This window comes from Homo sapiens, chromosome 10 (genome assembly GCF_000001405.40).
Source record: "Homo sapiens chromosome 10, GRCh38.p14 Primary Assembly".
NCBI lineage: Eukaryota > Metazoa > Chordata > Mammalia > Primates > Hominidae > Homo > Homo sapiens.
In genome coordinates this window covers 18,064,189-18,090,868 of record NC_000010.11, presented here as the reverse complement: position 1 = coordinate 18,090,868, position 26,680 = coordinate 18,064,189, and the positions used below count along the sequence as shown (strand labels likewise).

Sequence of the window (26,680 nt, the reverse complement as noted above, 5' to 3'; positions counted from 1 at the left end):
CAAGAAACAACAGTCCAGGCCGGGCGCGGTGGCTCATGCCTGTAATACCAGCACTTAGGGAGGCCGAGGCGGGTGGATCACCTGAGGTAAAGAGTTCGAGACCAAACTGGCCAACATGGTGAAACCCCATCTCTACTAAAAAGACAAAAATTAGCTAGGCATGGTGGCGCATGCGTGTAATCCCAGCTACTCGGGAGGCTGAGGCAGGAGAATTGCTTGAACCCAGGAGATGGAGGTGGCAGTGAGCCAAAATCACGCCATTGCACTCCAGCCTGGGTGACAGAGCAAGACTGTCTCAAAAAAACAAAAAAACAAAAAAAAAAACCAGTCCATCTACAACCCAAAGTATACCCACTACAAGACTCTCCCACCTGGAGAGTTTTCAGCCACGTTTACAACCTAGTCCTGCCCAGGAAGGCACCAAAAGTCACCCGCTTGACCACCTGGCAGATAGGGCCTGACGCCGATATGTGGACTCTCCACCTGCTTGATTCCGCCTCTGTATGCCATTAATGCCAGGCTTTCCCCGTTAAAGGCACCCACTTTCTGCTCCAAAAGTGAAGCAGGACCTTTCAGGCAGGAAGCCTGTGCTGCTTCTCCTAAGCTAACTACGGAATAAAAAGTCACTTTCTTTATACCAGACCTTGCTCTTGCTAATTGGAGTTTGTAAGCAGCGAGCAACTGAACTTGTGTTTCGGTTAATTTTAAGGTCCACATCCTTCATGCAAGTATAGACCTCAGATCTTAAACATATAGAACCCCAGGAGTGACCAGTTCACTGAGCATGGATGACGATGGACCCAAGCCAGTCACAATATGGTAAACAACGAATGATATCTGAGATACACAGGCCTGAACTTGCTTGTCAGGTCCATCTATTAGCAGATGGGACATCCAGGCAGGTTGTGGCCACTGCCAGATGGGGGCCCATGCCAGGCTGCCTGGGCTAAGGTCTGCTTAGAGGAGCCCAAGTAGTTGATGTTGCCAGTTTTAACAAGCATGGAAAAAAAAAAAAAGCAAATAAGAATATAAGTCTCAAACCTGTGCAGGCTCAGAATACTAGTCAGTGCAAGCTTATTTTTCAGGAGTTCTGGGGGAATCTTTAGCTAAGGTCTCAAAACTAAAAAATATGTTGAACTAACCCCAAACATGCATTCCCATGTATATTTGCCCAAGAAAGTCCATGAAATGAAACTCAGCTTTTCTGACTTGTCCCTATTTAGGAGCTTTCAATATTTTCCCAATAGTCCGTAGATATCATGTGACCACACTCAATCTATTCCATTTCCCATTTCTTGTCAGGCCTCAATGAACTGTGACTCAAATTATATTGTGTACCTCATTCTCTGTCTCTTCCAAACTCACAACCAATTCTCCCAACCCAACTGCTCACTGGGTTACTAGACAGTTTCTCCATTAGTGATCTATCTGAACTTTCCAAATATGTAGCCGTTCCAATACTGTTTTAAAATACCATAAGGATTTTTTTCTCTTATAGTCCCTAAAAGATTATACTAAAAAGTATTCTTTCATGTATTCATTCTTTTTTATTATTATTATACTTTAAGTTCTAGGGTACATGTGCACAACGTGCAGGTTTGTTACATATGTATACATGTGCCATGTTGGTGTGCTGCACCCATTAACTCATCATTTACATTAGGTATATCTTCTAATGCTATCCCTCCCCCGCTCCCCACCACACAACAGGCCCCAGTGTGTGATGTTCCCCTTCCTGTGTCCATGTGTTCTCATTGTTCAATTCCCACCTATGAGTGAGAACATGCGGTGTTTGGTTTTTTGTCCTTGCCATAGTTTGCTGAGAATGATGGTTTCCAGCTTCATCTATGTCCTTACAAAGGACATGAACTCATCCTTTTTTATGACTGCATAGTATTCCATGGTGTATATGTGCCACATTTTCTTAATCCAGTCTATCATTGTTGGACATTTGGGTTGGTTCCAAGTCTTTGCTATTGTGAATAGTGCTGCAATATCCAGAATCTACAAAGAACTCAAACAAATTTACAAGAAAAAAAACCTCATCACAAAGTGGGCAAAGGATATGAACAGACACTTCTCAAAAGAAGACATTTATGCAGCCAAAAGACACATGAAAAAATGCTCATCATCACTGGCCATCAGAGAAATGCAAATCAAAACCACAAGGAGATACCATCTCACACCAGTTAGAATGGAGATTATTAAAAAGTCAGGAAACAATAGGTGCTGGAGAGGATGTGGAGAAATAGAAACACTTTTACACTGTTGGTGGGACTGTAAACTAGTTCAACCATTGTGGAAGTCAGTGTGGCGATTCCTCAGGGATCTAGAACTAGAAATACCATTTGACCCAGCCATCCCATTACTGGTTATATACCCAAAGGATTATAAGTCATGCTGCTATAAAGACACATGCACACATATGTTTGTTGCGGCACTATTCACAACGTATTCATTCTTTCAATAGACAGTGAACACTTACAACTTGCCTGGCACTGTGCTAGGCTCTGGGAAAGTAATCCACTGAGAAAATGATCCTTGTGTTCAAAAATGAATACAATTACTATGTTCCTGAGGGAAACATAGTAACTCCCCCAGGAGCTTACACAATACCAATTAAAGGACAAAGCTTCCAGTTGTCGTATTATATTCCTTCACCCTCATTAATACACAAAGAATCACTTGAATTCTCTCCCATATTATTCTACTGTTGCTCATAAACTTTAAAAACCAAATGCTGAGTGATAGATTATTATTGTATTTTGTCTATATTTAAAGAAAGGAGGCAAAGTCAGGGGAATCTCTGGAGATATCAAGTTCACTTTGGATGAAGAAATTTTACTTTGCCGTCACACAACTTGATTCATTTCAAAACCAGTAATCCAGTCTGAAATTCTGCAAATGCACCAAGTCAGAATCCTATCATTTGGGGTAACTTTCATGCTGGGAGTTTATATAAACTGCTCTTTCTACATAAAATCTTCATTCTAACTACTATGTAATTTCTAAAGCTATTATATTTTTTTAAGCCCACCCAAAATACAGCCTGAGGAAAGCTGATGACTAAAGGAAACAGACATGGACAATAGGTACAGGGAGACCAGCACATTCTGGAATATTTCGAGATCAGGCCACTGAGTAAAGCGGCCCAAGTCTTTTCTAAAATGAGGATGGCCTTTTATCTGCTGGTACTCAGAATCCGTTCCAAAAGGGAGCTTTGAACTCTTGCACTGGGCACAATTCCCAGGAGTCCCACATTTCTTCCTCTGGCCAAGGACCAACAAGCAACAGATTGAAGAAGAGGCTGGGCTTTGTTTGTTTGAAGCATTCCATGTTTTCTGGCTCTAGGTTTTGGGGCTGTCCGCCATGTCATGAGTTATCTTTTCAACCAACCCAAGAGCTTTCTTCCGAAAACAGTTTCAGCCCAGAGTTATGAACCATAGTTCAGGTTCCAATTCTGCCACTTCACCTTCCTTAATAGTTACTAAAAGTTTCAGAGAAAGTAACAGCTGGGTTTCCACATTAAATTAAGTGCCTGTGATAGGGTGTCCTGCTCTGTGGTTAAATATTTCCTTTAAAAACAGAGCACAACCTGAAGACCATGATCATCAAACACTGCACTTTGAAACTAATGAGGAGTTTTAGCCAAAAACAACTGCAGAACTACGGCCCTGCTCAAATGCTACAGGAACGACTTTCCCAAAAAAATGATACTTGAAAAAGCATATGCATATATATGAAATGTGAAAGCATATAAATATATATGAAATGTGAAATGGAATAACATTATTTGGGGGACATATTGCTATTAAAATATCAATATAGCAACAAGTTGCCTTTCATGGATCTTTTAAGAAGCAATTCCTTACTTCTCAGGGTTTGAGCAACTCTCAAAGTAAGGCATCCATGTCATTCTGTCACAGAATTGGATTGTGTCCCAAAGGAGGCCTGGCTCCTGCAAGATTCTCCCTAGTCAAAACTGGCTTCCCTATATGATCTCCCAATCCCACATCTGTTTGAATTAATAAAAAGGTCATCTCTTAAGATGCAAACAGCCTGTGAGAGGAATAAACACAGCAGACTTTTGACCTAGAGTGTTGGATGTATGGACACATTTATTTACTTATATATTATTTATATTTTATCATTTTATTTTATTTTTTAGAGATGGGGTTCTCACTCTGTCACTCAGGCTAGAGTGCAGTAGAACAATCATAGCTCTCTGTAACCTCTAACTCCTGGGCTCAAGCCAGCCTCCTGCCTCAGCCTCCTGAGTAGCTGGGACTACAGGTGCATGCTACCATGTCTGGCTAATTTTTAAAAATTTTCCTTGTAGAGATGGGGTCTTGTTATGTTGCCCAGGCTGGAGTGTCAGATTTATTAACTCAACAACTTAGTTTGCTCTGAGGAAAAGGAGGTTATGACGGAGGGTAGGGATGGGAAGAGAACAGAACGAACAGGCATTTTCAGATGTGGCAGACCCGTGAGGCTTTGCCCTGACCCAGGGAAACATCCACACACCAGCTCACAGGCATCTTCTGGGATCAGGAAAGGGGGCACGAGGAAGTAGATGGGGGAGGTGGAGCCATTCTAAGCCAACACTTCTGCCTTGACATTTTCATAGGTCCTTGGTGGCTGCCATTCCTGCTCCAACACCACAGGAAAGTGTGCACAATGATTATTTTCTATAAGCAGAGAAAATATTCTTTAAGTTTCAGTGACTGACATGGAGCTTCCTCAAGTTCACTGAGAAGGAGGTGTCTGAGCAAAGGTGAGAAAGGGAGTGAGTGGTGTGGCTCTCTAGGGATAAGCTTTCCAGGAAAAGACAACACGAGTAGACACCCTGCGGGGAGCAAGCTTGGTGAGTTAGGGAGGACATAAGAAATGGGAAGATTGGGCTTGGAAGGAAGGTCAGATCTTGAAGAGTCCTGGATGTGATGGTCAGGGCTTGCATTTTTATTTCGCAGGAAATGGGCAGCGTTGAAGGGTTTTGAGCATGGGAGTGTCATAATCTGTCGTCAGTTTTAAAAGGTTCTTGCTGCTGTGTTGACAACAATCTTTCCCAAAGAGCCATTCCTTGTGAGGAATTTTCTTTCCTCTATTAAATCCAAAGTCATCTCACCATATCCACTGGCAAAGTTATTCTTAATAACTCCAAGAATGCATCTCAGAAGCATCCCAAACAAAGTGCAAATCATGATATGTGTTATATTTGTATAGCTTTACTTGTATCAGTTGACTAAATCAAGTATTGGGGCTGGGCGCAGTGGCTCACGCCTGTGATCCCAGCACTTTGAGACCCGAGGTGGGCGGATCACCTGAGGTCAGGAGTTTGAGACCAGCCTGGGCAACATGTGAAACCCTGTCTCTACCAAAGAATAGAAAAATTAGCCAGGCATGGTGGCAGGTGCCTGTAACCCTGGCTGCTAGAGAGGCTGAGTCAGGAAAATCACTTGAACCCGGGAGGCAGAGGTTGCATTGAGCCAAGATTGCGCCACTGCACTCCAGCCTGGCGACTGAGGGAGACTCTGTCTCCAATCAATCAATCAATCAATCAATCAAATGTTGGGAAAACACTTATCATTTACAAATGTCCAATAAAACCCGGTTGGTCATCACATCAACCTGGCCTCAGTTTCCTTATCTATCAATCAAACAAGGCATTTGAACTGGTGTATTCATTCATTTTATCAAATATTTATTAATAATTACTTCTATGAAGAGCCAGGAACTATAGTGGGGAAAGATCATCTTTTTCTTTGAGGAGTTCATATTCCACTGGTGAGAGATCATAAACAGCCTACAAAAGAGAGGCAGGCTTTTTTGTTTTCTTTTGGTGAGCAGAAGTGCATATTTTAAACATTTCAACAGAAAAGAGCTATTGAATAGGAAAAAGTGGAAGATCACAAACAGGAAGAAGAAAATTCATAGACGATGCTGTCTGAAAAGGATGGGAAATGACTCCCAGACCTAGAGAAAGAAGATGAATGTATAAGGTTTTCATGTTGGAACATAAGAGAACTGTCATATAAAGGCTTCAGTTTTCCCTCTGTAGTAGAATGCGCAACCTTGTTGAGAGTGAGGAGAATTCTATGGGGTAGGAAGTCTGCAAAAAGCAGTGAAGTCTGGAACTAACCACTGCAAGGGTGGGAGAATGAGATCCCAAGTGTTAACGCTTAGTGGTAGCAATCTGCTTTTGTGAGGTTTTTGTTTTGCTTTGTTTTGGTGGTTTTGTTTGTTTGTTTTCCAGAGAGTAGCAATAGGTAGAAAGTAAAAACAATTTAGTTGGTTCAAGGTTGGAGATTTGCTGCACAAACATGATTTGAAGACCGAGGAGGCAAGACGGGGAAGAAATGGACAGAGAGCAACCGACACGAAGAAACATTCATTTTTGGCTGAATAGGGGGGCATGGGAGGAGTGGGGGAGATCACAGCAAGGGTGGAAGTTGGAGACGGAGTGTTAAGGGATCAGATATCTCAATGAGACAATGGCAGGTAGTAGGACAACCTGAGAAAGCTGGAATGAGGATGACAGCATTTGGTACTCTCAGCAACAGTTGGGGTCAACATTACTATTTCCACTTTACAAACAAGGAGAGACTCTTGGAGAAGTTAAGCCACACAGATGATAAATGGTTGGTCAGATTGAGACAGAGACAGAGACACAGAGACAGAGAGACAAGGTGTCGTCAGAGAATGTGACATTTGGATGTCCAGTTTGAGTGATATATCTGGGGTATGCAGACGAGAGTAAGAAGTGAGAGAATGAGGAAGGATCAGAATTCAGGTGGTCCAAGAACTGAGAGATTAGAGTATAGGATGTAAAGGTGCTTATGCAGACAGTGAAGGTAGTCGAGATTCTGATTGGGTTTGGGGCTACAGAAGATCATGTCTCAAGGTCCCTTGTATCTCTAACATCACATTATTTGGATTTATAAAAGAAACCAACAATTAAGTGATGACTTTTTAGTGACATCCACTGTGTAATATTAGATAACAATTGGTTAAGAATTCCTTTATTTTACTAAAGCAACCCAGTGTTGATCTTCATCGAAATATTGTGTCATGTCATTGTGGGACGCGTGATACATTTTGATTTGGAAATCAATCTGACCAACCACTTATCATCTGTGTGGTTTAACTTCTCCAAGAGTCTCTCCTTATTTGTAAAGTGGAAATAGTAATGTCGACCTCAGCTGTTGCTGAGAGTGCCAAATGCTGTCACATATATATGAAATGGATACCTAAGATGATCTTCCGGGTACCCATTCCTCCCTGCCTGCCTCTCCCTGTCCATCCCTGGATCCAAATGGGAGTTACTATATTAATAAAACATGTTCCTCTCTCTGGTCCCAGTTGACTAGTCCCAGCGGGGGACACCTGGCCCAGGTGAGGCCAAAAAGCTTCATGAGACAAAGGCAGGTAGTATTTTGTACATGAACTAGAATGAATACAGTTCATCTTTCTCTCCTGGCTGAAATCCTAGGGTGTGAAATACCAATGGCACTAGCTTTTGGAGAGAAGTGGAGTTCATCTACTGACAGGAGCCAGGAAATTCTCTCTCTTGCCTGAATGACAGGGCTGGCTTGCTTAAAAGTCTCATGAAATACAGAGTGTAAAAGTTAATAGCAGAACACCTGACATATTTCATGGGTTTCATAATTTCTGTTACTTTTTTAAAGTGTTGTTATGTAGGACAGAAATTGGGAGTCAAAAGAAATCTATGTGATTTGTCAGACATGACCTGGGAGTGAGAGAAGCAGAGAGAGACAGAGACAGAGAGACAGAGAGAGACAAGACAGAGACAGACAGAGACAGAGAGAGACAGAGAGACAGATACAGAGAGACAGAGAGAAACAAAGACAGACAGATACATAGAGAGAAAGACAAAGAGGGACAGAGGCATAGAAGGACAGAGAGACAGAGAGACAGAGACACAGACTGAGAAAGAGCAATGGAGGGAAGGAGGAGAAAGAATAGGAACACAAACAAAGTAGAGGGGCAAGAAGGCTAGAAGTAACAAATGAGAAGGGTACCCAAGCTGAAAAGATAAACAAATCTATACAGCCCCTCAAAGATCCAGAACGTGCTTCCCATCTTCCTATCTCCACCCTCTACTTTCAGCTGAGATCTAAGCGGCTTCGGAGAAGACATGATGCAAATATCAGCTATCCTAAAACCAGAAGGATATGAGAGAAGAAACTTGGTGATCCGGAGCTGAAACACAGCCCCAAGGAGCCAGAAAATGGGGGAGGACGACTGTTCAGCTGAAAAGTGTACCTTATAATTCAGAAACCTTAGTCACCAGACTCTGAGAACAGATAACAAGAGTGGGAGGAAGGACTGGGGAGCAGCACGGGGAAATATTTAATAATGCTCTCGAGCTCTAAAGCATCAGTCACAATGCTCTTGACAAACTCCCAGCCTTATGGAACCATCAGAAAACCAAAGAACCAACTCACGGGGTAAAGCAAATAGATCCATGTTGTATTTTGCAGTGCACATAGAACTGACATCCAACTGATTGAGATTTTTGGCGTTGGAAACTATTTTTGAAAATCACCTACCACTGGGCATAATTATGTTCAGTCTTTACAGAAATCTGTAAAATATGGCTCAATTCTGAACATAGCCATGTCCTGTCCAAACAGCCCCTCCAAAGCTTGCTCCATTGTTTCACTCTATCTCAAGGTCCTTATGGCTCTAAACACAAATTTAAGAAAAAAGTGAATTAGGTTTTTAAAAATTTGCTCTATGGGAGACGACACAAAAAACAAATGTGAATGCTGAAATCGTCCATGCACACTAATCATTCCATATTTATATTTTACACGTTCCCATCAAAATGATGACATAAACGTTGTTAAACATATACAGAAATTCACAGAGCCCTGAGAAGACATCCCCAAATACCTCAAGGTCCGTGAGCTCCAGTTTTAGGTTGAGGGAGCCATTTCTCAGTTTGGAGCACGGTCAGACTACTTTTTGCTGACACTGTGTGGGAGGAACTGGTTGGGTGAGGGAGAAGCTAGAGGCAGCTGTAATTCAGTAGCCATGAAAATAGTTGAGGCAGAAGGTGAACAGGCTAAAAATCTGGTATTGGAAGGAATGGGAGGACTTTTGAAAGAAGGGTGGAAGGCAGGCAGGATTCACAGATCCTCATGGCTCACAAGCGGTGGAGAACCGAGAGAAAAGAAAGAAACAGTGGTTCCAAGTATAAGCCACATAATACACATACATTTAGGTTTCAAGGGACATGATTAGAACTATTGTATTGTAGCAAGACGTTTCTGTGTACAATTGATTAAACAAAAATCTCTAGAAGGAATACTTAGTCCCACTTCAAGTGGGATTTGTAATTAGAAGCCTTGGATCCTGTCTGAACAGCTGGAGGGCCTTGAGGCCACTGTTCTGGGGCCCTCTGTTTCCTTCTCTGTAAAATGGCCAGCGGGGTGGGAGAGTGAATTAGACGCTCGCAATCACACAACAAACTGACAGAAAGATCCAGGGGAAAACAAAATGGCCCCAGACACAAGTGCATTCTGGAAATCCTCTTCACAACATGTACCAGGTAACATGAACTCAGCTTTTACAACAGAGAAAGATGAAGTCAGAGATAAGATTTTTGAAAAGTAATTTAAAATAATTGATATGTTTTCTGCAAACTGAAGTAAGCAGCTTGACTTTCAGAATAAATGGCCACTTACAGCTGTCATGTCCTAACAGGACCACCTGCACAACCATCTCGATTGTGTGTTTTTCTGTTGCCCCCATATGCTGCAGACTGCCCCAAATCACAGAATGAATTTCCACACAAAAGAACCTTTCTTCTGGCTCTAGCAGCAGTTGAATTAGATAGTGGTTGGAGATCGGCACATTTGTATTATTGTCACACTGAGGTTTGATTTTTTCTACTGGCACAAAGTCTTCTAAAAAGGAATGGAAAATTACCCCTGTTTACTTCAAGGAACCATGCTGATTTCCTCGAAATATGCAACACACCAGTGTTGCTCAGGGCAACTAATTTAATTCACAGAGTTCCTGCCTATGATTGATAGCTTAAGAAAGGGTAAAATTTATTTGTAATCGACTTGAGATTGGATTATAATAGGTATATAGAAAGACATCAAGCAGTTAGGACAGCGGCCATGGATATTAGATCTGTTTAGCTAGTTGAGAAAAGCCTATTGCATAAGTTTGAGCTCTGGTGAGAAGTTGCATGTAAGCTATAGGATAACTTCTAAGAAAAAGATTGACTGGAGGCATAGAAATAACTAAACAATTCCAGCTAATGCATTTTCTCACAGTGAACAGATGTCACTACATAAAATTCCATCCAAAGCATTTCAACAAAAGGCTCCCAGACTAGGTTAAAAGTAAGTCAGACACAGGTATTTGGTGTGTGTTAGTGCAAAAGACAGTCTGAAGTAGATTGGAGATACCACTAAATCAGCCCAAGACCCCAAATTATATATATATATATAAATGAAAAAATATATTTATATAAAATAATTGTATGATATACATAATTTAAAAATATATATATAATTTAAAATATATATTATATACTTACAGTGATATATTGCTGGATGTAGCTATAATTACTATTGTTTCATTGGTTTACTTTTCTTTTGAAGAAAATAAGCAACGGGTAAAACTTTTAAAAACATATGTTTTCAACTAAAGTAATGCCTCCAGATGAATTGTTTATTGAACATAGCTCCCAGTAAACACAAATTTGCTAGCTAAGTCTGCTGTTTGACAGTAATCACTGCTGAGTCACAAGTGACTCTGACTTCTGATTGCACTCAGAGTTGATCAGAAGCCCTGGAAAGTAACTGCAACATTCATGTTTTCAGTATTTTTTTTCTCAGATGAAATAGACAATTTATGCTATTGTGTTCCTTTTGTATCATGCACATACTTATATCACAGCCACTTGGCACTGTATTTTACTTAACTTCCATATCTGACCCCTACCAGCTTGAATGCCTTTGAGAGCAAAGAATGTCTCTATTTTGAGCTCCTGGCCAGGTGCCTGGCACACTGTTAGTATTCAATAAATGTTCATTGAAGGAATTAATAAATGAATGAATAAGTGCTTTCTTCAATTTTTGCTGATCTTCACACATCAAAACCTAATACAGTTGTAGAAAGTCATTGAAGGGGATCAGAATATGTCACCCTAACATATGCCATTTTGGCATAAAGATGATTTAGAGCTGAAGGCTACTGAGAATCAACAGATGCAGGAAGAGTTATCTATCTACCTAAAAGTAGCTGACAAATTTCCCTTTGTGAGGGTGTTCCCTCCACCCTCGCCAGAAAGAGGAAAAATTCTTATCGTTGGAGACTGGGCGTTGACACTGAGACAAGTCTGTAAACCGATCTTACTGAAATAACTCTTATTTTCCAACAGTTCCACTATATCAACCTTGTTCAACCCACTGCCCATGGGCTGCATGTGGCCCAGGATGGTCTTGAATGTGGCCCAACACAAATTTGTAAACTTTCTTAAAATATGAGTTTTTTTTGGCAATTTTTTTTTAGCTCATCGGTTATCATTTGTGTTAGTGTATTTTATGTGTGGCCCAAGACAAATTCTTTTTCTTCCAGTGTGGCCCAGGCAAGCCAAAAGATTGGACATCTCTTCCCAATACATTTTCTCCTAAATAAATTCCCCACAATTTGTTGTTCCTTGAAGCCCTAACCACATTTCCTTTGTTAAAAGGGCATAAAAGCCCAAGTCTAACTGCTTCTTTGAATTTTACTTCCTTTCTGTGAACACCAATAGATATTCATACAAATTGTGTTTTTCTCCTGTTAATCAATCTTTTGTTACTATAATTTGCAGGCTACCAGGTACTGAACCCAAGAGGGTAAAGGTATTTTTTCTTTGATATCATTAATTTTATTCTTATTTTTTATATTCATAAAAAAAATTTTGTCCTGGCTGTACTGACTTTCTCATTCTTTATTTCCTCTTTTAATATTTCAAAGTATAATATAAAAGTAACAAACTTCTACCTTGACCACATGGGATGCTGTTTAAAGACTTTTTCTTCTTCTTAATATCTCAACCCAGAAAACAAACTCAAAAAGTCTCTGCTTCTTGCCCCGCCTTTATTATATCCTTTATTTTTACATATTCGGGGACTACAAAGCACATTTTCACCTTTATATTACTTTTGTCTGTTATCCTGTCAATTTTCACTGTCTTGGAGAACTTTTGATTATAGATTTGGCAATTTTCTTCTTTCCAAAGCCTCCTCTAAATTCTCTTTGCTTAGGTGTATGGGGACCAGTATCTTAAAAGGGACTTTTGGCAAAGGAGCTTCTCATTTGTCACTCGCTTTGCCCTGCTAAAGTGTAATTTTTTTTTTTTTTGGTAGACACAGGATCTTGCTCTGTCACCCAGGCTGCTGTGCAGTGGTGTGATCTCAGCTCACTGCAGCCTTGACCTCCTGGGCTCAAGTGTTTCTCCCATCTCAGCCTCCTGAGTAGCTAGTACTACAGGCATACGCCACCATACCTGGCTAATTTTCATGTTTTTTTGTTTGTTTGTTTTGTTTTTTTTGTAAAGATAGGGTCCTTGCTTTGTTGCCCAGGCTGGTCCCAAATGCCTGGCCTCAAGCAATCCTCCTGCCTTAGCCTCCCAAAGCAGTGGGATTACAGGCATGAGCCGCTGCACCTGGCCTAAAGTATAATTTTTAAAAAGTTAAAAACATGACTCTCATTCTTCTCCATCATTCATCTGACAAGGATCACCAAAACAGACCATAAAACTAAATCCCATTTTTGCAAATAATGTTGAATGGCTTAGTGGCTTAGTATGAACAAGAATCAAAAACAAATACATGCACAAAACCCCCAAAATAATAGAGAGGATAAAATAACCTAAAGAATCAGAGAGTCAGAAAAGTTAAAACTCTATTGCTTTTTAATATTCCATCTGGGAGCCAAGAAAAGGCAGACCTGGGCTTGCAAAGCCCGTGAAGTGTACTACTCAGGCAAGGCATTTTAATCAGGCTTCTAGGTGAGTCCACGTGAGATTTTTTTTTTTTTTTGGAGATGGAGTCTTGCTCTGTCACTCAGGGTAGAGTGCAGTAGCGCGATCTCAGCTCACTGCTGCAACCTCCGCCTCCTGGGTTCAAGCAATTCTCTGCCTCAGCCTCCTGAGTACCTGGGATTACAGGCGTGCACCACCTCACCAGGCTAATTTTTATATTTTTAGTAGAGACGGGGTTTCACCATCTTGTCCAGGCTGGTCTTCAACTCCTGACCTCGTGATCCACTCACCTTGGCCTCTCAAAGTGCTGGGATTACAGGTGTGAGCCACCACACCTGGCCCACTTGGGTATCTTACTGCAGCCTCCAAAATACCTAAGGTATAATTTTTTAAATGTTAAAAACATACATCTCATGCATATATAAAAATTAAGATGTTTGAGATTTTATCCAACTCAATCAATGAAAGAATTAGTAAGATTCTAAGATATATTCAAAGAGACTTTGAAGAACAGAGATCTAGTCAGCTAAGAATACTGAAATAAATTTACTAATAGATATAAAATGTGTTAATATCTTATGGGGCAATGAAACGTAATATTTGAGATTATCTTTTATAACAAGATGAAATGAATGGTTTCTCTAATAGAACAAAGTTTATTTGCATCACTGCAGGCAAGAATTATTTGCATTTCTATCAGCTTTCTGCATGTTAACTTCCTCCTTTACAGAGCTGGAAAATTGCCTAGATAATAAAAAGTCAGTCAAGCTGGGCATGGTGGCTCACGCCTATAATCCCAGCACTTTGGGAGGCTGAGGTGGGCAGATCACAAGATCGAGACCATCCTGGCCAACATGGTGAAACCCCATCTCTACTAAAAATACAAAAATTAGCTGGCCATGGTGGCGCGTGCCTGTAGTTCGCCTGTAGTCCCAGCTACTCAGGAGGCTGACGTAGGAGAATCGTTTGAACCCAGGAGGCGGAGGTTGCAGCGAGCCGAGATGGTGCCACTGTGGTCCAGCCTGGCAACAGAGTGAGCCTCCATCACAAAAAAGAAAAAGAAAAAAAAAAGTGTCAGTCAAAGGTGCACAGCCCTATAGAACCAGAGAATTCCTGGAGGGTTTTGCCAACCCTTTGCTGGAACGACACTCAATAATCTCTTTTGCTCATTTCCAAGTCTTGGACAATTTTTCCTGACACCCTTTGAAAATCAGAGTGATCTTCCATCCCTCCTAATCTTCCTCTCTCCCTTTCTTGTTTTTTAACTCCTCAGATATTACTGATCATTTTCTGTGTTCTAGATCAGCACTGACCGGTAGAACTTTCTGTGATGATAGAAATGCTCTGTGTCTATGCTATCCCGTATGGCATCTATTAACCACACGTGGCTTCTGAGCATTTCAAATGTGGCTGGTGTGACTCAGGAATTTTTAATTCGATAAATTTCAACCGACTTAAATATACACAGTCACAGGTGGTGGTGGCTACTGTAAGGAAAGGCACTATTCTAGCTACTGTGTGGGACTCATCAAAATGTAAGCTGTTGTTTCCTCCCACCTCCCACTCTTTTTTCCCCTCCAAGGCTTACATGTTTATAGAGAAGCTAAGGTTTGTTTGAAAATCACTGTTCTAGAAGGTAGCAGATGAACAGTATGGCATGCTCTGTGAACTCAGAGGGGAGACGGCTTCAAGCTGGGGTGATCTGTAAAGGTTTTTGACGATGTTGGGTAAGACTCAGACTTGCTAAGATGTCACAGAAAGACATTCTGGAGGAGGAAACTGCAGAGCAAAAGTGAGGAGGCAGGTGGGTGCAACTTATGGTTTTGAATGATGGGGTTACCCTGGTGGCTCAGAGCATCCAATTTAAGTAGGCAGGCTGTGAAATCTCGAGCTAGAAAAGAAAGGGGCTTGAAACAAACAGAAAAGTCCTTTGAAAATCACTGAAGAATTTGGGACTTTCTCCTATAAGTGATGGGAAAACATTGAAGGCTTTATGTTGGGGGGTGACATAACCAGATTTTTCTTTCTAAAAGTCACCATGGACACAGTGTGGAAGATGGATTGGAAGGCAGTAGCCACCGATGTTCATGATACTGGTTGGAAGGCTGTTCAAATCATCCTTGTGAGAGGTAATGGGAGCCTGCACTAGAATGAGGACAACGAATAAGATAGGGTTACATCCATTTGGAATTACTATAGCCCAGGAATAGACCTAATTTTCTATGAACTAGAGTGGATACATACATACATACATACATACATTTTATAACACATTTTTCAAGTGCTTTTCAGGCAGAACAACAATAGGGGTAAACTTGGACATGACAATCCCAAATGATAAATACTAAGAAGAAGTATTTTAGTTTCCAAATCCAGCTCTGTGAGTTTCTATGTGGTTTTAAGAGCAGGTCTTTGAGGACCTCCACAGGGTCAGCTCTGGGCAAAACTGTGAAAGATTAAATTTTCTTTAGAAGTATTCAGTATTTTTCCTATTTATCCTGCATAATTAACATGTGATTACTGATGACTTGTTATGTACCCAGCATGTCATTATGATTTTTAATACTGCATTAGTTTTCTATGGCTGCTGTAATCATTTACTATCAAGTTAGTGGCTTTAAACAACACAATTTTATTTGATAGTTCTGTAGATCAGAAGTTTGATACAGTTATCATGAAGCTAAAATCAAGGTGTCGGCAGGGCTGTGTTCGTTTCTGGAATCTCTAAGGGGAATATTTTCTTTCCTTTTCCAGCTTCTAGAGGTCACCCCCATTCCTTGGTTCATGGCCCCTTCCTTCATCTTCAAAGCCACCAACGGCAGGTCCAGTTCTTCACATCACACTGGCCTCTCTTCTGCGTCCGTCTTCCACTTTTAAGGACACTTCTGATTACGCTGGGTCCACACAGATAATCCAGTATAATCTTGTTTAAAATCAGCTGATTAGCAACCTTAATTCCATCTGTAAACTTAGTTCCCCTTTGCCATCTCCTCAAGGTCCTTAATAGTAATCAATCTGCAAAGTCCCTTTTGACATATAAGGCAACATATTTATAGATGCTTGGGTTTAGGACATGGGCATCTTTGAGGGACATTCTTCTGACTACCCCAAATATTTCACTTAATTCTCACCATACTATTACTATTATTATGCCCATTTTCCAGAGCCTTACAACCTTAGGACTATCATTCTTCTATGCTATAAATAATGAACCTAACGCTTAATGGAGTTAGATGCAATGACCCCTAAAACACACAGATGTTACAGTAGCCAGGCTAGGATTTGAACCTATGTCTCCTGCGATGGATCTTTTTTTTTTTTTTTTTTTTTTTTGAGACGGAGTCTCACTCTGTCACCCAGGCTGGAGTGCAGTGGCACAATCTCAGCTCACTGCAAGCTCCGCCTCCTGGGTTCATGCCGTTCTCCTGCCTCAGCCTCCCGAGTAGCTGGGATTACAGGCGCCCACCACTACGCTCGGCTAATTTTTTGTATTTTTAGTAGAGACGGGGTTTCACCATGTTAGCCAGGATGGTCTCAATCTCCTGACCTCATGATCCGCCCACCTCAGCCTCCCAAAGTGCTGGGATTACAGGCGCGAGCCACCGCACCCGGCCTGTGATGGATGTTTTAACCACTCAACTGTACTAATTCTCACAGATGTCACTTTTTCCCTGCCTCCTCCTTTTCTCCCTCAGGGTATTCATCTTTCTGTGATACTCCATCAAAACATTGCAGCAGGGAAAGATGTAAAACTCACTGAATTTTTAAAATACAGTGGCTTAAATGGTGCATTCAGTGGTACCCAGGGGCACTCGCCTTTGTGAAGGGTGAGAAGTGTTAAAGTTGCTGGGCATGGTGGCTCATGCCTATAATCCTAGCACTTTGGGAGGCCAAGGCAGGTGGGTTGCTTGAGCCCAGGAGTTTGAGACCAGCCTGGGCAGCATAGTGAGGCCTTGTCACCACAAAATTTTAAAAAACTAGCCGGGCATGGTGCTGCATGCCTATGGTCCTAGCTATTTAGGACACTGAGGTGTGAGGATTGCTTGAGCCCAGAAGGTGGAGGCTGCAGTGAGCTGCGACAGCACCATTGCACTCCAGCCTGTGCAACAGAGCGAGACCCTGTCTGGAAAAAAAAAAAAAAAAAGAGTCAAGGTCAATAACACTAGAGCTAAAGAAATTGAAGGAAAATCTGACAAATTCAGGAGGGACATTTTGAGCTGGAGACTTTCTCAGCACTTCTGGGGCATAGCTGTTTGTCTGCTTTGCTTATTGTAGGGAGCGCCTGGACCCCAGGACAAGGCTTTTGAGAATCAGTAGTGACAAGGTTTTGAGAGCGTTATCTCAGAGTAAGGTCAGATAGTGCCTTGCTGCCCTTCTTGTCCCGGGAGCCATCCACTTACAATATCAAAAGGCAAAATGGCCACATGTATTTAAAATTAGCTCTGACTTAACAAACTAAGTCCATTTTTTAAAAAGAGAGAAAAGCTACAATGCATCCCAAGTATGTGCACAGTGTAAGTTGCATCCCAAGTATGTGCACAGTGAAAGATTAGATGTGCTCATTATGGAAATTCAGGAGTATCAGGCACATATTTCAGTGAGAGCTCATCTTTTGAAAGACAGTCCTGTTTTAGCTAAAAGAGGCATTATTCTATGGCCCGTTTATTTTGCCTTGGCCTCCTCTGCTCCTTTGCCTTCTGGGTTGTGGTTCGTTTCTTGATGTGAGTGCTGGTTATGCAGGTGTGTTCACCTTGTGGCAAGTCATTGAGCTGTACGGTCTTTTTCTTTCTTTCTTTCTTTTTTTCTGAGATAGAGTCTCACTCTGTTGCCCAGGCTGGAGTGCAGTGGCACAATCTCAGCTCACTGCAACCTCTGCCTACCGGGTTCCAGCTATTCTCCTGCCTCAGCCTCCCAAGTAGCTGGGATTACAGGTGCCCGCCACCATGCCCGGCTAATTTTTGTAATTTTTAGTAGAGACAGGGTTTCACCATATTGGCCAGGCTGGTCTCGAACTCCTGACCTCGTGATCCACCTCCCTCAGTCCCCCAAAGTGCTGGGATTACAGGTGTGAGCCACCGCACCCAGCCTATGGTCATGATCTGTGTGCTTTTCTGCATGTGTGCTACACTAATACAACCTCTAAAAACTATGATATATTTTAACTTTAAAAAGAGAAAGAAAAAAGAGGGCAGGTCCTCAAAATCTAAGTCATTCTTTAAAGAAAATCTAAGGCTGGGCATGGTGGTGTATACCTGTAATCCCAGCTGCTCAGGAAGCTTAGATGGGAGGATTGCTTGAGCTCAGTAGTTTAGGATCAGGTGGGAAAAATAGCAAGACTCTGTCTCTAAAAGTAAATAAATACATAAATAAATGAAAAAAAATCTATAAAGGGAACACATCATATCAATCATTAAGGTTTACCAGAGTCACAGTAATTTTTTAAAGTATGATTCTGGAAGCAAAGTAGACCAACAGAACAGAAAAGAGAGAGATCACAGGCAGACCCACATATCTAGGGGGACTTAATATGTCATAAAACGTCACCACAAATCATTAGGGAAAGAATAAATTATTTAATAGCTAGTATTAGGAAAACTAGACCACTACCAGAAAAAAAAATAATGCTAAATCACTGTCTAGCACCAGATGAGTGAACCCAAAATAGATTAAAGGTCTAAAGTTATTAGAAAATATAAAGAAATATTTTTGTGACTTGTGATAGGGGAAATTTTTTCACAAAATCTCAAAAGCACAAACAACAAGGCTAAAACTTCATGAGTTTGTTTATATTAAAATTAAGAATTTCTGTTTATTGAAAGACATCATGGAAAAAAGAGATTGGAGGAATGGAGAAAGTCATTTGCAATACCCGGAACTGACAAAGGATTAATATGTAGAAAATACAAGAGGCATTTGATATCAACCAAGAACAAGATAAGTCCAACAGAAAAGTGAGCAAGAGATACAAAGAGATTTATAGCATTGGAATGCCACGTGGCAGTAAGGCATGTGAAATGATGGTGAAACTCATTAGTAATCAGAACAATACAAATTAAAGTGACAAAGAGCTATCACTTAGTAAAATGATTGGCAAAAGCTAGTAAGCTGTAAAATGACAAATGTTTACAGGGATGTGAGAATACCTCAATCCTTATGCTCTGCTAGGAAAATGTAGTCAGAGGCCATCAATCTGGAGATGATCTGGTACTTGAGCATACTTTATGACCCAGGAATTCCATTCCAGGAATACATTCAAGGAACCCTTCACATGGGTTTATATGGAGAAGAATTTTACTTTAATTATTGCAACATTGCACCTGGCAGCAGGAAGCCATAGGCAATATTGGTGCATGATTCTGACATCAGATAAGTCAAATGTACTCTTTTTAAAATTCACACATGCCCACACATGTGCATGTACAGACAGTTACAAAACTCAATAGTTATAAAACTCAATAACTTCAAGAAAAACAAAGTCTGCCTTTCTTTAGATTTGATTTGCTGAAACTATTCCTAATTCCAATCAACGGGAAATCTCATGTTGTTCTTGAGTCATAGCTCACCCACTGCACCCATAATTTACCATGCTGAATTTCGATACCATGAATTTTTTTTTTTTTTTTGAGACGCAGTTTTGCTCTTGTTGCCCAAGCTGGAGCGTAATGGCATGATCTCGGCTCACTGCAACCTCTGCCTCCTGGATTCAAGCAATTCTCCTGCCTCAGCCTCTTGAGGAGCTGAGATTACAGGCGCATGCCACCACGCCTGGCTAATTTTTTGTTTTTTTTTTTTTTTTTTTTTTTTTTGGGAGAGACAGGGTTTCACCATGTTGGCCAGATGGTCTCGATCTCCTGACCTTGTGATCCACCTGCCTCGACCTCCCAAAGTGCTGGGATTACAGGCATGAGCCATCATGCCCAGCTGGATAGCATGATTTCCAAAGCCAGCTTTCTACCAAGATCCTCAGGTCATAAGAACTATGCCTTTCCATTTTTTCTTTTCCACAATCTGAATTTCTAGTGCAGGAGCCAGCTGGTTCCTCCAGTTATCCTGCAAGCCTTGAAGCCACATGTGGCTCCTCTCTGTCCTCCTTCAGAGATCCTGGAACTGCTTTGAAATGAGAGCTTAAGCAGGAGCTCAGGCCCTATCTATAGACTCCCACGGTGGCTGCTCACTGGAGTTTCAGAGCACTGGCCACCTGGATCCTTATCTCCTTTCCTTCAACTTTGAGCCACTTGTAATTTCAGTGTACAGCCATCACCAGCCTTTGGTTTTGATCAGGATAGGAGCCTGCTGAGTTCTACTGGACCCTGGATTTTGTGTAGTGGGATGTGGTCTTAGTGGCAGTGGGGCACATTTTTCAGGACCCTGCTATAGCTGGCTCACTGATTGCCAGGTTCTACCCATCCCATATGTCTTTTATTCTTAAATAATAAGTAGCCAAATTCCCCAGAGTCATGGTTGGCTGAACAATGGCCTCAGAAATATAACCTTGTCCTAATCCTGGGAACCTGTGAATGTTTCCTTGTATGGCAGAAGAGACTTTGAAGATGTGCTTAAAGATCCTTAGATGAGGAGACTCTCCCAGATTATCTGATGGACCTCACGTAATCACAGTTGTCCTTCAAGAGAAATGACGGAGTCACCAAGTGAGAGGAGATGGCAGTGTGGCGACAGAAGCAGTGACTGGACTGACATGCTTTGAAGGTAGAGGAAGGGGCCTGCTACTGAAACAGGAGAGTCCCCTGATTCCCCTCACAGGATGTCTAACAGGGGTACGGCTCGCCTGTTTGGTTGCCCCACAGCTCAAACCCCTAGGGGTGCATACAGACAGGGAGGTGCAGAGGCTGGGATGAGTGCTTTGGGCTATCAGCCCTGCGGTAGTGTTTAGGGGTGGGTGCCTGTAACTCCGGTGCTACCATGCTCTTTCAGCTTTGCCATCTACAGATGGCTTGTGTGTTAATCTCAATGGACCCTCTGCCTTATTGCAAGGGCAGAAGGCCAGTGTGACAGCCTTTTGTATCCCGAGCTCTTGCCCAGTGTCCCGAAAGAATCGGATCACACAGGGCTCAAAGGATTAGTGCAAGGTTTTATTATGAGGAGGAGGTGGCTCTCAGTGAGATGGATAGGGAGCTGGAAGGGGAATGGAGTGGGAAGGTGGTCCTTCCCTGGAGTCAGGCCACCGAGCTGCTGGACTCTTCTCTGACCACCCCTGGCCAGACTTCCCTTGGTGTCCAGGCATCCCTCCTCTTCTTTCTCTGCTGCATCGTTCCACCACCACTGGTCTGCTGATCTCTCCTGGTGCTTGGGATTTGGGGCTGATATGGAGGCAGGATAGGGGGAATGGCAGGCCAAAAGGCCAGTTTTTGGGCATAAAAACCGAATGCCTGTTCTCATTTAGTGCTGTGGGTCTCCAGGCTTGAGGGTGGGGCCCTTGCCAGGGAACCTCTCTCTTCTACTCAGTATTTTGCTGCCTCCTGTCCATATCACTATGGTTTTAAAGATGGTGTCCTCTCCCAAACTCACATTGAAACTTAATCCCCAGTGCAAGATTATTAAGAGGTGTGGCCTTTAGGAGGTTATTGAGTCATGAGGGATTCAATTCCATGAATGGGATCAGGTACTCTTATGAAAAGGCTTGTTAGAGGGAGTTTGTCCCTTTTCACCGCTATTTCTTCTGCATAGGAAGACGCAGTGTTCCTTTCCTCCGGAGGATGCTGCAATAAGACAACGCTGTGGAAGCCAAGACTGAGCCCTCATCAGACACTGAACTTGCTTGTGCCTTGATCTTGAACTTCCAGCCTCCAGAACTACGAGAACTAAGTTTCTCTTCTTTATAAATTACCCAATCTGTGATAATTGTTACGTTATGGCACCACAAAGAGACTACAAATAGGCTAAGACTGAACCACAAGCCAATAAATAAAGATAGCCTCTTTAAGATGGAAAAGGCAAAAAAACTCCACATACTCTCCAGCGGAGCCTCAAGAAGGAACCAGCCCTGCCAACATCTTAACTTTAGCTAGTGAAACTTACTTTGGAATTCTGACCTCCAGAACTGTAAGAGAATAAACTTGCATGGATTTAAGCCAATAAATTTATAGTAATTTATTACAGCAGCAATAGGAAACTAATATACACAATAATCGCTCTCAAGATGTTACACCAAAGACCTCCTAGCCATAAAACCCAATGGTCTTTTCCTTTCCTCTTTCTTAGCAGCTCTTGGGAGCCTGCCAGATATAGTCGTGGAAAGAACATTAGTTTTAGAAGGGGGAAAAAACCCAGACCTGGTTCTAATTACTATTTCTATGCAAGAATTCTTCCTTGGCATTTCTCAGAAAATTTAGATTTCTCCAAATCCGGAAAATCAGTTGAAAACTTGGGGAAAGTATTATAATTCTCTAGCATGAACTGAAGCTTATCAATCAATATAGGAGACATGCGTTCACAATGGAATCAGTTTGGCTTGTGGCTGTTGCTGTGTTGTGCGTGTATGTTTCTGGCCTTGTGTGATGCTGACAATGAGTCACATTGGCACAGGAAATAAATATTAATAAGCTTATACCCATATCATGCTCCATTTAAATTCTACGAATGCTGTTCTAAGAAATACGAAGTTTTAGAAGCACATAAATCCTTACATTGGCACATTTCTACATGGGATTCTTTGTAGTTCTGTTAAGCTTGCTAGGAAATCCAAATGTTACATTATTTGAATACCACTCGATACCATTTCCTACCATTTTCTAGTATTTGAACATTCACTGTACTTCATAAACGCTACTAAATACTTCTCATTTGTCAAACATGCCTTCCAAAGATAGACATAATCATGAGTAAAGTGTATGAAAATGTTGAAATTATTTTAAAATAACTTATGATTGCGGAATTCCTGAGAAATATTGTAAATTATGATATCTCATTCCCGAATCCTCCAAATTAGTACATGTCAGGAATTTGAAAACACTAGTTTAAATCCCTGCCCTACCATTTTACTAGTAGTAGAGTCTTGAGCAAATTATGATAAGGTTAGATATCCTTATCAAAAAGGGAAAATAATATCATTTGGATTTGTTGCAAGGATTATGTAAGATTATATATGGGAAGTGCCTGAGAGATAAGTTAAAAAAAAAAAAGACAGTTCACAAAAGTAAGAGAGTAAATGTTCATGACCTTAGATTTGGTAAACAGATTCTTACACACCAAAAACATAACCAACTAAAGATAAAACAGATAGATTGAATTTCACCGAAGTTAAAAATTGTATGCATCAGAGAATATTATCAAGAAGGTGAAATGATAACCTACAGAATGGGAGACAATATTTGCAAATCATAAGGGACGTATCTGATCATCGAACCAGAATATATGAAGAACTCCCGACTCCCAACCACAAAAACACAAACAATGCAATCAAAAAAATAGGCAGAGGGATTTCCAGTTTCCTGTACTGCTTGGAAGTTGCCACTGTGTCCTAATAACAAGTAAAAGGCTGAAAAACTGAAAAATCAACAACTCTTCCTGGATCCATAAAAGAAGCGAGGCTTCACAAGCACAGCACTGCCCCAGAAGTTGGAGAGACAGATAGGCCAACGCAGAGAATTGCAACTTACCAGAGCAGAAACCAGTGAGTGTCCCACCTAATTGTAATTGATAAATTCCTGGTGACTCAGTATGAACAAGCCTGAACATTAAAAGCTCCAGGGGACCCAGACATAGAGGTCTCCATCCCTTTGTGAGTTTTACCTCCAGGAGTTTCACCAGGTTCTTAGAGTAAACGGAGAAGAATCTCTTCCCACTTCTGGGGGTGGAAGAGAAAAGGAACCAGAACACTGCGTTCTTCTTAACAAGGTCTGCCCTCAGGAAAATCCAGTTAGTTAATCAGAGCCCAGGCTGCTGGGGCTTTATCAGAGCCTAACGGACCTTGGGGGAAGAGAACTACCAAACGCCAGCCATCAGCCGCTCAGACCTTCCACCTGGGAGAGGAAAAATACCAAAATCCAGCCCACGCAAGCCATCCAGCCTCACCTAAGAAGGAAGAAAAATACTGAGAAACACTTGTGAAGTTCACAATCAGAGGCATCAGCTCACTAAAAGTCCTAATCAAAAAACTATAAAATCATCCTCTTCCCACTTTGCCTCACCACCACAATACTAACGGTCTACGTACAGCAGTTTCTGTTACAACAAAACTGACAAACTTCTAGCCAAGTAAACTGCAAGGAAAAATAGATGCATCTGCTATGACTGTTGGAGACTTCAACAGCTTTCTACCAGGAACAGGCCCAGCAGGCAATCAGTAAGGACGCAGTGGAACTCAATACACTATCAATCAAGTGACTATAATTGACACCTGTAGATGTACAACAGCCGAATACACTTTTTCCTCAAGCTCACTTGAAATATTTACTGGGTTTGACCATATTTTAGGCCATAAAAATATATATTAACAAATTTAAAAGAAATCATAAAATGTCTGCTTTCAGACCATAATAGAATTATACTAGAACTCCAGAACAGGAAGATAACTGGAAAGCCTCAAAATCCTCAAAATAGAGATTAAACAACACACTTCTAAATAACACATGAGTTACAGAAGAAATTGCAAAAGAAATTTTAAAATGTTTTGAACTAAATGAAAGTCAAAACCCAACTTATCAAGAGAGAAAAGTACTTAGAGGGAAATTTATAGCATTGAATGCATATGATAGAAGAGAAGAACAGTCTAAAACCAATAATCTAAACTTTCATTTTAGAAAACTAGAAGAGCAAATTAAATCCAAAATAATTTGAAAAACAGAAATAATAAATAATTAGAGCAGAAATCAGTGACGTTGAAAACAGGAAATTAATAGAAAAATCAATGAAACCAAAAACTAATTCTTTGATAAAATCAATAAGACTCTAGGCTAACTTTTTTCTTAGGCTAGCAAAGAAAAAAAGAAGATCCAAATTACTAATATCAGAAACAAAAGAGAGGACATCACCATAAATCCCATGAACATTAAATGTATAATACAGAACTATTATAAACAATTTTATGTCCACAAATTGTATAACCTAGATGGAATAGGTCATTTCCCTGAAAGACACAATCTGCCAAAACTTGCACACACAAAGAATAATTAATCTAAAGAGCTCTAGGTATGTTAAAGAAATTGAATCAATAATTAATAATCTACCGAACACAAAAGCACCAGGCCCAGATGAGTTCACCAGTGAATTCTACCACACCTTTAATGAAAACATTATACCAATTCTCTACAATATCTTTCAGAAGAAAGAAGCAGAGGAAATGCTTCCTATGTCATTCAATGAGACTAGCATTACCTTAAGAACAAAACCAGACAAAGACATTATAAGAAAAGAAAACCATAGATCAATATCTCTTTTGAATATAGACGTAAAAATTCTCAACAAAATACTAGCAAATCAAATTCAACAACGTATGAAAGAAATTATACACCACAACAACCAAGTATAATTTATCCCAGGTAGGCAAGGCTGGTTCAAAATTTGAAAACCAATTAATGTAAGCCATCACATCCATTGGATAAAGAAAAAAAAAACACATGAGCATATGAACAGGTGGAGAAAAGGCATTTGAAAGAATCCAACACCCATTCATGATTAAAAAACAAAAAAAACTCTCAGTAAATGAGGAATAGAGGAGGATTTTTCCCAGTTTGATAAAGAATATCCACAAAACCTATTGCTCACATCATATTTAATGGTAAGAAACTCAAAGCTTTCGTGCTAACATCAGGAACAAGGCAAGGATGTCCTCTCTCACCGCCCCTTTTCAGTATCATACTGGAAGTCCTAGCTAATGCAATAAAACAAGAAAAAAAAAGAAAAGAAAAGTTACATCAATTAGGAAACATAAAACTGTCTTTGCAGATGACATAATTGTCTATGCAGAAAATCCAAAAGTATCAGCAAAAGAAAAAAAAAAAACTCCTGGAACTAATAAGCACTTACAGTAATTTTGCAGGATACAAGGTTAATATAAAAACTTTTTTTGATATTGGAATATTTGCAGTCTACTTACCAGTTCAGTATCCCTAATCCAAAATTCTGAAATCTGAAATACTCCAGTGGGAATTTCCTTGGAGCATCATGTTGGCACTCAGAAAGTTTTAGATTTTAGAGAATGTTGGATTAGGGATAAGCAACCGGTATAAAGTTACAGATAGATCAATGGAACATAAAAGAGGGCCCAGGAATAGACCCACATAAATATAGTCAACTGATTTTGACACAGGAGAAAAGACAATAACATAGGACAAAGATAGTCATTCCAACAAGTGGTGCTGGAACAACTTGCCATCCACAAGCAACAAAATGGAACAAAACAAAACAAGAATATAGACAGAGACTTTATACCTTTCACAAAAATTAACTGAAAATGGATTGTAGATCTAATTATAAAATGTAAAACCATAACACTTCTAGAAAACAATATAGGAGAAAATCTAGATGGCCTTGGGTTAGGTGATGACTTTTAAGTGCAATATTAAGGGCACTGTCCATGAAAGAAAAAATTGGTAAGACAGATGTCATTAAATACTTCTGCTTTCTGAAAGACACTGTCAGGAAAATGAAAAGACAAGCTGCAGACTGGGAGAATATGTTTGCAAAAAACTTACTTGATAAAAGACTGTT

The 26,680-nt window shown here is 40.7% G+C and overlaps 2 annotated features.

Moving 5' to 3' along the window:
- Positions 10,662–10,862: a silencer, noted in NCBI's record as "peak890 fragment used in MPRA reporter construct". NCBI's record gives its function as "represses an SCP1 promoter by STARR-seq MPRAs in K562 erythroleukemia cells {active_cell/tissue: K562}" and the evidence as "EXISTENCE:reporter gene assay evidence [ECO:0000049][PMID:32103011]".
- Positions 23,178–24,377: an enhancer, noted in NCBI's record as "CDK7 strongly-dependent group 2 enhancer chr10:18355421-18356620 (GRCh37/hg19 assembly coordinates)". NCBI's record gives its function as "activates an origin of replication core promoter dependent on BRD2, BRD4, P300/CBP, MED14 and CDK7 cofactors, with strong dependence on CDK7, by STARR-seq in HCT116 cells {active_cell/tissue: HCT116}" and the evidence as "EXISTENCE:reporter gene assay evidence [ECO:0000049][PMID:35650434]".